Source organism: Homo sapiens, chromosome 5 (assembly GCF_000001405.40).
Source record: "Homo sapiens chromosome 5, GRCh38.p14 Primary Assembly".
In the NCBI taxonomy this organism is placed as follows: domain Eukaryota; kingdom Metazoa; phylum Chordata; class Mammalia; order Primates; family Hominidae; genus Homo; species Homo sapiens.
The window spans coordinates 10001-26303 of NC_000005.10; the positions used below are offsets into that span (position 1 = coordinate 10001).

Sequence of the window (16303 nt, forward strand, 5' to 3'; positions counted from 1 at the left end):
TAACCCTAACCCTAACCCTAACCCTAACCCTAACCCTAACCCTAACCCTAACCCTAACCCTAACCCTAACCCTAACCCTAACCCTAACCCTAACCCTAACCCTAACCCTAACCCTAACCCTAACCCTAACCCTAACCCTAACCCTAACCCTAACCCTAACCCTAACCCTAACCCTAACCCTAACCCTAACCCTAACCCTAACCCTAACCCTAACCCTAACCCTAACCCTAACCCTAACCCTAACCCTAACCCTAACCCTAACCCTAACCCTAACCCTAACCCTAACCCTAACCCTAACCCTAACCCTAACCCTAACCCTAACCCTAACCCTAACCCTAACCCTAACCCTAACCCTAACCCTAACCCTAACCCTAACCCTAACCCTAACCCTAACCCTAACCCTAACCCTAACCCTAACCCTAACCCTAACCCTAACCCTAACCCTAACCCTAACCCTAACCCTAACCCTAACCCTAATCCTAACCCTAACCCTAACCCTAACCCTAACCCTAACCCTAACCCTAACCCTAACCCTAACCCTAACCCTAACCCTAACCCTAACCCTAACCCTAACCCTAACCCTAACCCTAACCCTAACCCTAACCCTAACCCTAACCCTAACCCTAACCCTAACCCTAACCCTAACCCTAACCCTAACCCTAACCCTAACCCTAACCCTAACCCTAACCCTAACCCTAACCCTAACCCTAACCCTAACCCTAACCCTAACCCTAACCCTAACCCTAACCCTAACCCTAACCCTAACCCTAACCCTAACCCTAACCCTAACCCTAACCCTAACCCTAACCCTAACCCTAACCCTAACCCTAACCCTAACCCTAACCCTAACCCTAACCCTAACCCTAACCCTAACCCTAACCCTAACCCTAACCCTAACCCTAACCCTAACCCTAACCCTAACCCTAACCCTAACCCTAACCCTAACCCTAACCCTAACCCTAACCCTAACCCTAACCCTAACCCTAACCCTAACCCTAACCCTAACCCTAACCCTAACCCTAACCCTAACCCTAACCCTAACCCTAACCCTAACCCTAACCCTAACCCTAACCCTAACCCTAACCCTAACCCTAACCCTAACCCTAACCCTAACCCTAACCCTAACCCTAACCCTAACCCTAACCCTAACCCTAACCCTAACCCTAACCCTAACCCTAACCCTAACCCTAACCCTAACCCTAACCCTAACCCTAACCCTAACCCTAACCCTAACCCTAACCCTAACCCTAACCCTAACCCTAACCCTAACCCTAACCCTAACCCTAACCCTAACCCTAACCCTAACCCTAACCCTAACCCTAACCCTAACCCTAACCCTAACCCTAACCCTAACCCTAACCCTAACCCTAACCCTAACCCTAACCCTAACCCTAACCCTAACCCTAACCCTAACCCTAACCCTAACCCTAACCCTAACCCTAACCCTAACCCTAACCCTAACCCTAACCCTAACCCTAACCCTAACCCTAACCCTAACCCTAACCCTAACCCTAACCCTAACCCTAACCCTAACCCTAACCCTAACCCTAACCCTAACCCTAACCCTAACCCTAACCCTAAACCCTAACCCTAACCCTAACCCTAACCCTAACCCTAACCCTAACCCTAACCCTAACCCTAACCCTAACCCTAACCCTAACCCTAACCCTAACCCTAACCCTAACCCTAACCCTAACCCTAACCCTAACCCTAACCCTAACCCTAACCCTAACCCTAACCCTAACCCTAACCCTAACCCTAACCCTAACCCTAACCCTAACCCCTAACCCCTAACCCTAACCCTAAACCCTAACCCTGAACCCGAACCCTGACCCCTGACCCCTGACCCCGACCCCGACCCCGACCCCGACCCTGACCCTATGCCTATCTTATATTAACAATTTTGTATTGAGGGAGTGCATTAGCATACAGGTGCTTGTTACATGAGCAATGTGGATATCATATTTTGGGTGTTACGTGTGCATTAGGAAGGCTGCATTTGTGTTCCGAGCCTGCAGTTGGACCTTGCAATGCAGCCCCAAGCCTTCCTTGGGAGCATCTCGGTGTACAGGATTCACAGGGGCTTTTGCTTTTCCGTTTTCCACACTGAACCCTTCTAACTGCTCTCTGACCTTGATTATTCAGGGGTGCAACCGGGAAAAATTTTCTTCACTGTCGTTGCGGCCTCGAGTTGTCCCAAAGCGAGGCACTGCCCCCAACATCTGTGGTGAAGAGAATGCTGCTCCGCCTTTATGGTGTCCCCTAGGTCTCTGCTGAGCAGAACGCAGCTCCGCCCTCGCGGTGCCCTGGGCCCGCCCGCCCGGGTCTGTGCTGAGGAGTACTCTGCTCCACCTTCGCAGTACCCCCGAAGTCTGTGCAGAGGAGAACGCAGCTCCGCCCTCGCGATGCTCTCCGGGTCTGTTAGGGTCTGTGCTACAGAGAACGCATCTCCGCTCTCGCAAAGGCGCCGCGCCGGCGCAGGCGCAGAGAGGCGCGCCGCGCCGGCGCAGGCGCAGAGAGGCGCGCCGCGCCGGCGCAGGCGCAGAGAGGCGCGCCGCGCCGGCGCAGGCGCAGAGAGGCGCGCCGCGCCGGCGCAGGCGCAGAGAGGCGCGCCGCGCCGGCGCAGGCGCAGAGAGGCGCGCCGCGCCGGCGCAGGCGCAGAGAGGCGCGCCGCGCCGGCGCAGGCGCAGAGAGGCGCGCCGCGCCGGCGCAGGCGCAGAGAGGCGCGCCGCGCCGGCGCAGGCGCAGAGAGGCGCGCCGCGCCGGCGCAGGCGCAGAGAGGCGCGCCGCGCCGGCGCAGGCGCAGAGAGGCGCGCCGCGCCGGCGCAGGCGCAGAGAGGCGCGCCGGCGCAGGCGCAGAGAGGCGCGCCGGCGCAGGCGCAGAGAGGCGCGCCGGCGCAGGCGCAGAGAGGCGCGCCGGCGCAGGCGCAGAGAGGCGCGCCGCGGTTAGGGAGACGCGGTGCAGGGCATAGACGCACGCCGGCGCGTCCCCGGCGGGGGCGGGGTGGCTTGTCGGGCGGGGCGGGAGGTGCGGTGCAGGCGCAGACACGCACGTCGCTGGGCTGAGGGTGGCGGGGCGTGTTGCAGGTGCACAGTCGCACAACGCCGGGCTGGGAGCGCTGGGGTGGCGCGGTCCAGGCGCAGAGACACACGTCCCCAGCGGCGCGGCGTAGAGGAGGGTGGAACCTCAGCAATCTGAAAAGCCCGTTTCGGGCGCCCCGTGCTTGGAGCCGGGAACTACAGGACCCGCTTGTCTACGATGCTGTGCCAGTTTGCCCCCTGCTGGCGACTAGTGCAACTGCAGGGCCCTGTTACTTACAGTGTTGTCCAGCGCTTTCCTCTTCCTTGTTGTTCTATTTGGCCTCTCAGCCAATTGGATGGTGCCTGTATTCATCCATTTTTATACAGCTATGAGGAAATACCTGAGTCTGAGCAATTTATAAAGAACAAAGAGGTTTAATGGGCTGACAGTTCCACATGGCTGCAGGGGCCTCACAATCATGGCAGAAGGGGAAGCAAAGACGTCCTTCTTCACATGGCCGCAACAAGAAGAAGTGCTGAGCCAAAGGGGAAATAAAAATAATGGAATAACTAGAAACAACCCTATGCGAAGCATGCAAGGAAAGTAGGGCATGTTTCGCAAGGAAAGTAGGATGCAATTTTTATAAGGAAAACCATACATAAGATACAAATAAAAAGAGATACCTAACCTTCCTTGTGTTATAATTGTATGGGTAAAATGTTATGTTTTCAGAAATGATATAAAATTCCTGGAAATTTGTTAATGTCCTCCTTATCCGTGCTATGTGCCAGTATAGAGTAATGAGTCATAATTGCAATTATTATTTTAAATAATCCTGGCTAACCCCGTGAATCTCCGTCTCCACTAAAAATATAAAAAATTAGCCGGCTGTGGTGGCAGGCGCCTGTAGTCCCAGCACTTTGGGCGGCCACAGAAAAAATCGAATACCCTTGTCAGTTGTGGTATAATGAACTCTCATCAGATCTTTCATCACAGCCATTTCATACTCTTTGTCATTTAGATATTATTTCCCCGATGCTTTCCTGAAAGCTCCTGCAATCAGCTACAGGTCAAAATGTTCATCTCCAACACAGGACTCCCTCTGAGACTCACAGGTACTCTGGTTATAGGCTTCTGATGATATTGCTTAAATAACTTTAAGACCATACACTTGACTCAGTGAAGATCTCCAGAAGTCTGGTTGAGAAATTGATGGGTTCATGACACTGCTAACTCAAGATCCACAAGACTGGAATTGATTACATGGCACTGAATGAACTGATGAAAATTGATTATAATTTTATAGCTTTTTAGAGCATTGCTGGTTGTTTAATGTTCTAGTTTCTGGATTTAAGAAATCTCTTTCCCTTAATCTAACTGTAACAACAATTTAGTAGATTATACTTTTATAAACAGAAATGAGGCATTTATCTTTTTTCTCTGCCTGATTTCTCCAGAATTTTGAAATTCTAACTGAATACTCTTTATTTTCATGATGATATAGTTGTTATCACAAGTCTAATAAGAACCTTATAACGGGACATAATTGGAAATTTTGTTTATATTATCAAGGTTTTTACAGGAATATCATATTTATGAAATGTACCTCAGATCAGTTATGACCAGCAATTTTAAGGAAGTAAGGTTGACTTTTATGGAGACAATGCTTACAAAGTACTGTGAGAAATGGGAAAGTTCTTCAAAGATTATAAAAAGTCACAATTTCTTACTATATGATTGCTATCCACGATTTATATATATACGTGAGTGTGTGTGTGTGTATTCCAAATCAGTTATCCTAGCTTGCTCCAGCATGCCTGGGCAGAACTAGACAAGCCCCAGCCCATAGTGCATGCCATTCCTTATTTGGAGATGCTTCCTTAACTATCCCTGGCCAACTTCCATTTCTTTCTTTGTTCTATTCCCCTAACCTAATTAAGAAAGTTTTAAACTAATAGCCAATTGGGTAAAGTGTAAAATGTGAGGTCCTATTTCAGCCAATGGAAAATGGACACAGCACTAGGGTAGACACATCAGGTTATAAGTAACTCTGTCTCCTTTGGTGTGCTCTTGTGGCTGGACAACTATTGAGTAGCACCCCTTATGCAGAAAGCAAAGCTCGCCTCACTAAGAGATCATTTGTTCCCACGTTAATTCTTTTTTTTTTTTGGGAACACCAAAATCTTCATTCCCAACAGCACTCTGAGAAAAGCCAGCCTGATACCTAGATTACAGGGTTCACAGCCTTAAAGGTTAGTAGAGGTTTACCACACAGGAGGTAGAGGTTGCAGTGAGCTGAGATTGCACCTTTGCACTCCAGCCTGGGCGACAGAGCCAGACCCTGTCTCAAAAAAAAATTTTTTTAAAGGAAAACTATAGCTATTGTGGATTATCAGATTCTAGTCTTGTTTCTTGTTTTTGGGCTATTTTTACCACTTTGTAAACTGGATCCTGCCATCTGATGAATTTTGTCCAACAATGATACTTGTGGAATAAGAAGCCAGGTATTGTCTCTCCCACTAATATATCTATTGTCAGTTAATTTCAAGGTCTCCAACCCTGGAACAAAGTTAGAAGAGGAAAGTTTTGCTCCCCATAATGCATAACCAAATTGTGGTACATTCATGCAATGGAATACTATTTAGCCATAGAAAGGAACAAGCTATCAACTCACACAAAGACATGAGTGAATCTTGCATGCACATTGCTAAGTGGAAGAGGACAGTCTGAGGAGGATACATACAGTGTGATCTCATTTAATAAGACACTGGAGAAGGCAAACTACACAGATGGGAAGCCATTGGCTCCATGGGGTGGGGGTTTGAAGCCTTCCATATGATACTTTAATAGTGGGATATCTGCCACAATGCATTTGTCAAAATACACAGAATTTTATGGCCAAATGGGTAAATCAAACTCTATTCAAATTAAATAAAATTACTCAGCACGTGGAGTATCCCAGGACAGAATACATCATGTGAAAAATAATTTAACTATGCTACAAATTACTATGGTTTGGATGTGGTTTGTCCCCGCAAAAACTCAGGTTGAAATTTGACCCCCAATGTGGCAGTGTGGGGCGGTGGGGCCTAGTGGAAGGTGTTTGGGTCATGGGGATGGATCTCTCATGAATAGATTAATGTCCTCCATGGGGGTGAGTGAGTTCTGCTCTCACAGGAATGGATTAATTCCTGCAGGAGTAGCTAGTTAAAAAGAGTCTGGCTTCCTTGGCTTCCCTATTGCTTTCACTTTTGCTATGTGATCTCTGGTGCACCTCTTGCTCCCCTTCCACTTTCCACCATGAGGTGAAAAAGACTGAGGCCCCACCGGATGCAACTGCCCAATCTCAGACATTCCAGCCACCAGTATTGTGAGCCAAATGAACCTTTATTACTTATAAATTACCCAGCCTCAGGTATTCTGTTACAGAAGCACAAAATGGACTAAGACGCAAATGTAGGTAAAAACTCACTGAAGGTGTAGGGAAAATGGTGTTGACAAAAGTCACTTTGAAAATGAATAGAATCTGTAAGCTGAAGGCAAATGAACTATACTTCATCATTGTATTCCATTTTATAAAGTTCTTTCCAACAGAAGCAATTGTGAACAATTGTAAAACCACAGTGTCTGTATCTGGAATAAAACAATGACTTACATAAGTCGCAGATGGTGGGAACCAGGTTTCTCACTGTTGAAGTGGGAGGTTACAAATTAGCAAGGCGAGAAGGCTAGAATGATTCAAGTGATAGTAGATCAGAGGTGGGGACATGAACGTAAACTTATGTTTAGTTTAATATAGATACACACAGTTCTGCATAGAAAACTTTATAATTAGGTGTGTATAGGTAGGTTAGACACACACATATACCTCCTAGCATTGCTAATGAGGGACAAGATACAATGTGCTCATTCAGCAGCCAGATGTAAGTTTTCCTACCATTCTGAAAGGAATCAGGCTCCTTGAAGAAATGTCTGATACTAGAACTGGGAGAGTAAATATAGGAGCCAGGATAATCTGGAAGTATCAGTAAGTAAGTAAGTACTAAAAAAATTAAAATATATCAAAGAAAAATAAGAGCCAATAAAAACAGCTACCGATGGCCAACACAGGAATGAATTGTGCAACATAAGGCTGCAGTGTTGAATAATAGCTAAAGCTTAAAGTAATTATCTAGGTGTCTGTATTTGTATGCATAGGTGAATAAGCAAATGGAGTTGCATAGAAATCTCCTTTGCAAAAGAATTCCAAATACTTGATGTAGACACTCAGCTGTCAAGAAGGCGGAGCCAACTCCTCACTCCGTAAGGAGTGAGGCTCTGCATAGTGGCTTGCTCCAAAAGAACACATGTAGTATGGACAAGGAGGAAAAATAACTTCACAGTGGAGAAACCTGACAAACAGTAGCTCTGCCAAATGATCCAAGTGAACAACAAAGGTAACAGTTCACCTTGAGAACATGAAGTGACAATGAGGGACATTCTACAAAATGCCTGACCAATCCTCCTCAGTACTATCAAGGTCACCTGAGATGGAAAGCCTGACACACTGTCACAGCCAGGAAGAGCCCACATGATGACTACATGTCATGCGGGATCCTGGATGGGATCCTGGATCAGAGTAAGACAGATCTAAGGGAATCCAAATGAAATATGAACTTTAGTCTATCAGTATTGGTTCATTAACTGTGACAAATTGTGTAAGATATTAATAAGCCATGTGAAGGAACACACTGATAAAAGATGTTAATAAGAGAGGAAACTAGGTTGCGGCTACATGGGAAATATCTGCTTTTTTTTGACAATTTCTGTGTAAGTAAAGATGTAAAATAAAACTTTATTTGAAACACTGTTTTTTTGAACACTTCCTTGTTTAATTATTTATACCATGAATTACTAGTAATTGACACTGTTAACTAGTCCTGTTTTTTTAAATAAGAGCATTTATGACACAAAAAATTAAACAGTGCAGACTGATATATAAATCAAAACAAATGTTCTTTACATGTTTTCTGTTACAGTAGTAACAATATGTGTAAACTTAATTATCATATTTTTTTCTTGTGTTGTGGTTGTGTCCTGGGTTCATTCTCTAAAATGCTGTTCACCTTAGACCAGGAAAAATATTAACCTTACAGACTCTGTTTCAATTCATAGCTAAATATTTTCAAAAGAGTGACTTTGTAAAAATATGTTCCAATGGCAAATTGATTCATTGTGATGGGATCACTTATCCCGAAGACTTCTTGTCTTTATTTTGTTCCCATGCCTACCTTTTAGCCATAATACAGCAGAATCAAATATTGGTCACTGGGAAAAAATATTCAAAGAAAGAAGGAATGTGGACAGAACTTATGACCATGATGATTCAATGTTTTACCACAATGCTTTCTAAAACAGAAGAGTGTAAAAGGATATTCAAAGTCAATTTCCTCAGCGAGGCTTTGCAGAAAATGAGGAAACTAGAGAAACAAAAATGGCAGGACATTCTACGGGTGATTTTAAATGTTGCTATGTTTTATGGGAAAAAATACTTTACCTTTTAAAGAATCACAAAGAATTGTTGGAAACCCAAACTCTGGAATGTTTGCAAATTTAGTTGAGCTTCTATGTAATTATGTCTATATAGGTAGCCACGATGTTGATGATTTCTTAAAAATCTGTGCCTTATTTGTGTGATAAAATACACAATGAATAATTAATGCTCATAGGAAAACCTTATAAAGGGAAAATAAATCTTGGGGACCCAAAATCACTAAGCTAAAGGGAAAAGTCAAGCTGGGAACTGCTTAGGGCAAACCCGCCTCCCATTGTATCCAAAGTCACCCATCTGCTCACCTAGATAAATGCATACCTGATTGCCTCATTTGGAGAGGGTAATCAGCAATGCAAAAGAATGAAATCATTTGTCTCTTACCTACCTATGACCTGGAAGCCCCCTGTCTGGCCTTGTCACCTTTCTGGACTGAACCAATGCACATCTTACACATATTGGTTGATGTCTCATGTCTCCCTAAAGTGTGTAAAACCAAGCTGTGCCCCGACCACCTTGGGCCAATGTTGTCAGGACCTCCTGAGGATGCATCACGGGCGCACATCCTCAAGCTTGGCAAAATAAACTTTCTAAAAAAATCTGAGAGCCGTCTCAGATTTTCAGGGTTCACACATGTAATGTAGGATGTCAATGTTTATAAAACAGACATTATTCTATCTACTATTAGAAATATGCTGCCAATTAACCTTAAACTTTCTCAACAAAATAAAAAATGTTGAGGTACAAATAATACATCTAAGCTTAAGTGGTGTTGCAAGTTTTAATATGCCTACTTTTCAATTTTTCAATACTATTTTTACTAATTTAACACTGTAAGAAAAATGAGTAATTAAAACAAGAATAAAAGTGTTTACAGGGGGTGCACATGTTTCCTCCAGCCTCTGCCCAACCCCAGCTTTCATCCCAACTGTCCTGATGGTGGCTCTATGCATTTCTCCTTTCTCTATACCAAGATCTCTCCCCAGAAACAAACCCAAATCATGGAGGCCCGTTTTCTCCATGATTTAGCAGGAATGCGCTACCTTTCCGTGAGGAGACACTGCCCACAGAAACCAAGGCCATTCTTTGAAGACAAACATGTTTTAATAGCCTTTACATTATGTAATAGTGTACTATAAATAATAATTTATTAATAATAATGTAAAATTATTTACATTATTATGTTACAACTTTTGTACAGAGCTTTACACCTAGATATTCTGAAGTTGGTGGTCTGTGAGTGGCATCGAGTGATGACCGACACACTCTGACCTGGGGTAGAACAACACGTGTCCCTGCAGTTTGCTGAAGTTCAGGGCAACACCACCTCTTTTCAAGAGTGTGTTTTCCTATCCTCCCGAGTTTTGCCCACTTAAGAAATGGTTTTGCTGTAATAAAGAATTACACTATTTATCAAAATATTACTTTGGAGATTACTGGTTCACGTAGTTCATTTTCAAGTTTTCTTAAACTATCAGGCCCATAGCTAATGCCAGTGGCTCTAAGGATGAGAAAGTAAAAAGCCGGGTTTTTTTTTGTTTTTTTGTTTTTGGCCAAGACCAAAAAACACCACATTTCAAACTTTACTGTCTCATGCTAGTCCCTGGAAAATTAGAAGTTAACACACTCCCCTCACAGCCCAATCACAGCTAATGAATAACCAAGATCTCCTGCAGGTGCCTTTGCCTTGGGCTTGTGAGCCTGGAGTTGCTGGTTGGCACTGGGCAGCAGGCAGCAGAGCTAGTCCCATTTCTCCATGCTTTCCCCACTCTGTGCGGGACAAAGGCACATTGAACAACCTGGGTCCTGGCCTGGCGCTGGCTGGGAAGCTATTTGATGTCAGGCTTGATGTGGACTTCTGAGTTGAAAAGAGAGTATGGGTCACCCAGCCCCACTTACTCATTTTACCAAGAATGAAAATGGGGATCTATTCCAGACATGAGAGTACACATTGTAAGGCTGTGCAAGCTTGCTGCGCTTGCATCCGCTCAGCACACACTTTCTGAGTGCCGAGTGTCTCCAGCATGAGAAGGGCTGTAGTTCCCAGGGTCCCACCCTCCACAAAGGACAGCAGCACCTCGAGGGACAGAGGTGCAAAGAGCAAGGTGGGGGCCCTTCTGCTGGAGAGGCGGCTGGGGAGGTCCTTAGAGGAAGTGACAGCTGAGCTCTGCTCTGAAGGGTGAAGCTGAATTACTTGAAGCTTAGGGTGAAGGGGTGTCCAGGGAAGTGGAGCCTGTGAGCCAAAAGCATAATGACTTGTCCAGAGAAGTGTAACAATTTCATATTGTTTCAGTGCCAAATCTGCACAGGAGTCACCAAAGGAAAGAGCAGGATCCTGGAGCCAGGGCCTGCGATTTCACCCGCTGGCAATGGGACTGTTCACTGGGAATTTTGGGGGGCAAAACCTGAAAATGTTTCCTCTTAGCTCCAATTCTCTGTCTCTCCGTCTCTTTCTGTCCTCTCTCTCCCTTATCTTTAATTTTTGTATTATCATAAAAAACACAGATGTCCCAGATGTGGGGATTAGCAGCCTGCCTCTTTCTGGATGACTTCAGGGGAGCACTTTGGCCTCTGTGAGCTTATTTACAACAATTCACGAATCTTGCAAAAAAAAAGTCATGGTAGCAGAGGTTAGAAAATCTCCTAGTATTTCTTGTGATACTTTGAATTTGTGATTAATATGTTTAATCTTCATCTTCTGAAAAGTCACCAGTTACACAGTGAGGACCATAAAGGGAGTCTGTTTCTGTGGTTTTTGGCTTCAACAGTCAGCGGTTTTGCAGCAATAGCATTGCATGTGGGTTTTAGGCTGATGATGCTCAACAGTGGACAATTCTCTTCACCTGCCTGGGCCCCACTGCCCGCCCTTCCATACAGTGCAGGGTCACAGCTGAGCTCTCTGGGACACCTCGCAGGATCTCGGCTTCTGAACTATCAAGTGTCTTCTAGGTGAGGTCTTGGTCTCATAGTCTTTGTAGCTTCCTCCAGGTAACACTTGGTTTTTTGACCTAACCTTGGTATGTGTGTGACACACATGTGAATGTGCTCCCTGTGGCAGCGCTGAGGAAGGACTCAGTCATCACAGATGCCGAAAGGCAAATGCAGTGTGCTTTTTTCCAACATCTCCAGTCTTGCATTATTTTTACCCATCAGCCCATTTGAAAAAGAAAAAAAAAGCCTCCTGTTAGAATTAAATCCCCTCTGAAGAGATAATGAGTATTTTTTTAATCTTTCATGTTTTTTATAGTCACATTTGCTCCCAGTTCCTGCCAGGATCCACTAGAGGGCAAAGACACCCATGTGTCTTTGTGTGGCACTTGCTGAGTGGTAATAAAAACAGACACCCTGCCCTCCCAGAGCCAACTTCCAGTGCCGGGGCCAGCGGCAGCAAGTAAGAAAACCGTGGTTTCTGTATCTGCATCAGCTACACGGTGCTCACACACAGGAGGCATCAGCCAGTTTTCTCAGTTAAGAGACAGAAAAAAAATGTGTCCTCACTACTTTTTGAATTTACCATGTTATCTAATGTTTTAACTTAATTGAATGAATAAACTCCCTATGCATCTGGACACATGCATGGAAAATTCAAAAACATTTCTAAGCAAAGCAGAGTATTTTGCCAAAAGAAAACTATTTCTTAGATATGTGAATTTCACTTTTTTCTATATTTTCGTGATTTTAATGTAATGAAATTGAGTACTCTGTGCTTCTAAAAGACTTTTTAAGGAGCATGGTATTTTTCCATTTTGAAAAAAAATTGGCAAAATATCTTCTACTATAGATATAAGTTAATTGGCTGAGGGTAATAAACAGAAGATTAAAAAACAACCTTTATCCCCTGATATTCTGTCAAGGGCTACAGTGAATTACACACCCTGGCATGGGTTTGCACGCCACGTGCTGGGAGCCAGCAGTCATGCAGGCCATGCCCTCCCACACTTAGAAAAGAAGCCCATGATTTGCAGATGACATGATTGTATGTATATTTAGAAAACCCCATCATCTCAGCCCAAATTCTCCTTAAGCTGATAAGCAACTTCAGCAAAGTCTCAGGATACAAAATCAATGTGCAAAAATCACAAGCATTCTTATACACCAATAACAAACAGAGAGCCAAATCATGAGTGAACTCCCCTTCACAATTGCTTCAAAGAGAATAAAATACCTAGGAATACAACTTACAAGGGATGTGAAGGACCTCTTCAAGGAGAACTACAAACCACTGCTCAATGAAATAAAAGAGGATACAAACAAATGGAAGAACATTCCATGCTCACGGGTAGGAAGAATCAATATTGTGAAAATGGCCATACTGCCCAAGGTAATTTATAGATTTGATGCCATCCCCATCAAGCTACCAATGACTTTCTTCACAGAATTGGAAAAAAACTACTTTAAAGTTCATATGGAACCAAAAAAGAGCGCACATTGCCAAGACAATCCTAAGCCAAACAAAGCTGGAAGCATCACAGGACCTGACTTCAAACTATACTACAAGGCTACAGTAACCAAAACAGAATGGTACTGGTACCAAAACAGAGATATAAACCAACGGAACAGAACAGACCCCTCAGAAATAATACCACACATCTACAACAATCTGATCTTTGACAAACCTGACAACAACAAACAATGGGGAAAGGATTCCCTATTTAATAAATGCTGTTTGGAAAACTGGCTAGCCATATGTAGAAAGCTGAAACTGGATCCCTTCCTTACACCTTTTACAAAAATTAATTCAAGATGGATTAAAGACTTACATGTTAGACCTAAAACCATAAAAACCCTAGAAGAAAACCTGGGCAATACCATTCAGGACATAAGCATGGGCAAGGATTTCATGTCTAAAACACCAAAAGCAATGGCAACAAAAGACAAAATTGACAAATGGGATCTAATTAAACTAAAGAGCTTCTGCACAGCAAAAGAAACTACCATCAGAGTGAACAGGCAACCTACAGAATGGGAGAAAATTTTTGCAATCTACTCATCTGACAAAGGGCTAATACCCAGAATCTATAAAGAACTCAAACAAATTTACAAGAAAAAAACAAACAACCCCATCAAAAAGTGGATGAAGGACATGAACAGACACTTCTCAAAAGAAGACATTTATGCAGCCAACAGACACATGAAAAAATGCTCATCGTCACTGGTCATCAGAGAAATGCAAATCAAAACCACAATGAGATACCATCTCACACCAGTTAGAATGGCAATCATTAAAAAGTCAGGAAACAACACGTGCTGGAGAGGATGTGGAGAAACAGGAATGCTTTTACACTGTTGGTGGGACTGTAAACTAGTTTAGCCATTGTGGAAGACAGTGTGGCGATTCCTCAAGGATCTAGGACTAGAAATACCACTTGACCCAGCCATCCCATTACTGGGTATATACCCAAAGGATTATAAATCATGCTGCTATAAAGACACATGCACACGTATGTTTATTGCAGCACTATTCACAATAGCAAAGACTTGGAACCAACCCAAATGTCCAACAATGATAGACTGGATTAAGAAAATGTGGCACACATATACATCATGGAATACTATGTAGCCATAAAAAAGGATGAGTTCGTGTCGCTTGTAGGGACATGGATGAAGCTGGAAACCATCATTCTCAGCAAACTATCGCAAGAACAAAACACCAAACACCGCATGTTCTCTCTCATAGGTGGGAATTGAACAACGAGAACAGCTGGACACAGGAAGGGGAACATCATACAGCAGGACCTGTTGTTGGGTGGGGGGAGGGGGGAGGGAAAGCATTAGGAGACATACCTAATGTAAATGTTGAGGTAATGGGTGCAGCACACCAACATGGCACATGTATACATATGTAACAAACCTGCACGTTGTGCACATGCACCCTAGAACTTAAAGTATAATAATAATAAAAAAAAAAAGAGTGGAAAAAAAAAGAAAAGAAGCCCATGGGAAAGAGCTCCATGAAGTTCATGCAGAATGACCTCCAGCAAGGCCTGGAAAATGCTCAGTTACACAGAATACCTGTGTCCAAATACTTTGAGCGCACAGCTCTGGCATCAGGTTCCTGTAAGGACAGACCCTGAGATGGATTTCGGGATGGAGGCTGCTGCCAGAGGAGACAATGTCACTGCAGATGGCTCACACTGCTCCCACACTGCAGGGGCCAGTGTCTTGGGGCTCCCTCCCGCCGTCCTGTTGGGGAACTGCAGAGATTCACCCCAGTTGCGTGGACTCCGCTGTGTCTCCTGTCAAGAAGCTCCTCAGCTTACCTTGGTTTTTCCTTTTTAAAAACTCTCTGGTGTTTTCCTCTCCAGTGGGGGCTGCATCTCACCTTAGAAGAAAAGATTTTCCAACTAGGGGCTGTCTTGGTAGCTGGTCCAGAAGAAGGTCTCCTCTCTCTGGAGTGATGTCCAGCCAAGTAACTCCAGCCAGAACTCTCACTGAGTGTGGCTGGGTCTGCCCTGCTCTCCTCCCATCCTCGTGTGGACTGTGGAAACCCATCCATGCCCTATGCAAAGTCCCGCATCTCAGACTGTAAAATGGCAGAAGCTGAATTTAATGATTATATTGACTCTAAGAGGAAAACAAAGTTCTGAGGTAGACAATTGGTAAGCAAGCAATTATGTGTAACTTGTTAGAACACTAGGGTGTTTTTTATTTGTCTCACTTATTTTTTCTGTTTAACAGGCTGGCTAGGAGCCAGAGGGAGAGAAGGCTGGCTGGGAATTGAGAGGCATGAGGTCACCTCAGTCCCAACATTTCCATGTAAATGATGATGTGAGATGAGCTGGTGGCAGGAGTCCCTGGAAATCCTCACGATCTCAGCTTTTAACTTCTGTAAAATATTATGTCATTTAGGATCTCTTTAACAAATAACGTTTTTTCTAATTACAAAAGTGTATATTCTCTGTGGAGGAGCTTTGGTAAATACAAAATGAGTTATAAGACAAAGAAAAATCATTCATAATTTTATCACTCAAATTTTGATAATTATATTCTTGCATTTTTAATGAAATGTAGACATTTTAGATTATACTGTATATAAAATGTTGTTTCTGTTTTTTCATCCAATATTAGATCATAAACGTTTTACATGGCATAAACTATATATGTAAATCAGCTATTTCCACACCTGGGTGCTTGATTTAACCCTCCTTATACTGTTAGCCATTTAAATGATTTCTCCTTTATCCTATGAATAACACTTCCACCAGTTATTATTCTTATATATAGCTCATTCAATCACTCATAATCTCATTGAGCATTTATTTATAATTTAGTTGCATATTACCTGAGTGGATTGTGGTTATATGTTTATATGCTTATTCCAAATACAGTGCTAAGATTAGCATTAGAGACAGGAAAATACTCACAGGTTTTCAAACTAGAAGGAGCCAAACAAATCCATGATCCAGCTCTGCATACTCTCACCCAGCCTTAGTTTTCTTACACAGAAAGTGAAGACAATGCTATTTGCCTTGTGGCATCGTTGTGAAGTTAAAGAAGACACCGATTCTGCACGCAGCAGTTCACAGACAGCGGGAAGCTGGGCCCCCACCAACTCTAAGGACAATCACCATCGGATGCCCCACGATCCTACTCTCAGGGTGTTCGTATGCCATATGCCATGTTCACAAATCTGTAAAAAAAAAAAAAGTTACAATTATGAAATTAAAAGTTAACTAAAGGAGGATGTTTTCATTATCTTTGAAATTTAACCCCCCAAATCCAGATTATAAAGCAAGGAGATGTCTTATGGC

At 43.7% G+C, this 16303-nt stretch overlaps 1 long non-coding RNA gene across 1 annotated transcript, besides 2 other annotated features; it reads right to left on the minus strand.

Moving 5' to 3' along the window:
* Positions 797-1672: an enhancer, noted in NCBI's record as "OCT4-NANOG hESC enhancer chr5:10797-11672 (GRCh37/hg19 assembly coordinates)". NCBI's record gives its function as "activates a minimal SCP1, AML or CMV promoter by ChIP-STARR-seq in primed H9 embryonic stem cells {active_cell/tissue: H9 hESC(primed)}" and the evidence as "EXISTENCE:reporter gene assay evidence [ECO:0000049][PMID:30033119]".
* Positions 2352-2909: an enhancer, noted in NCBI's record as "OCT4 hESC enhancer chr5:12352-12909 (GRCh37/hg19 assembly coordinates)". NCBI's record gives its function as "activates a minimal SCP1, AML or CMV promoter by ChIP-STARR-seq in primed H9 embryonic stem cells {active_cell/tissue: H9 hESC(primed)}" and the evidence as "EXISTENCE:reporter gene assay evidence [ECO:0000049][PMID:30033119]".
* Positions 15178-16177, minus strand: LOC124900928 (uncharacterized). Its single transcript, XR_007058669.1, has 2 exons — positions 15917-16177; positions 15178-15378 (listed from the first exon to the last, which is right to left on the minus strand). It is a non-coding gene; the product is annotated as an uncharacterized LOC124900928 (long non-coding RNA).
* Between the last annotated feature and the right edge of the window lie 126 nt (positions 16178-16303).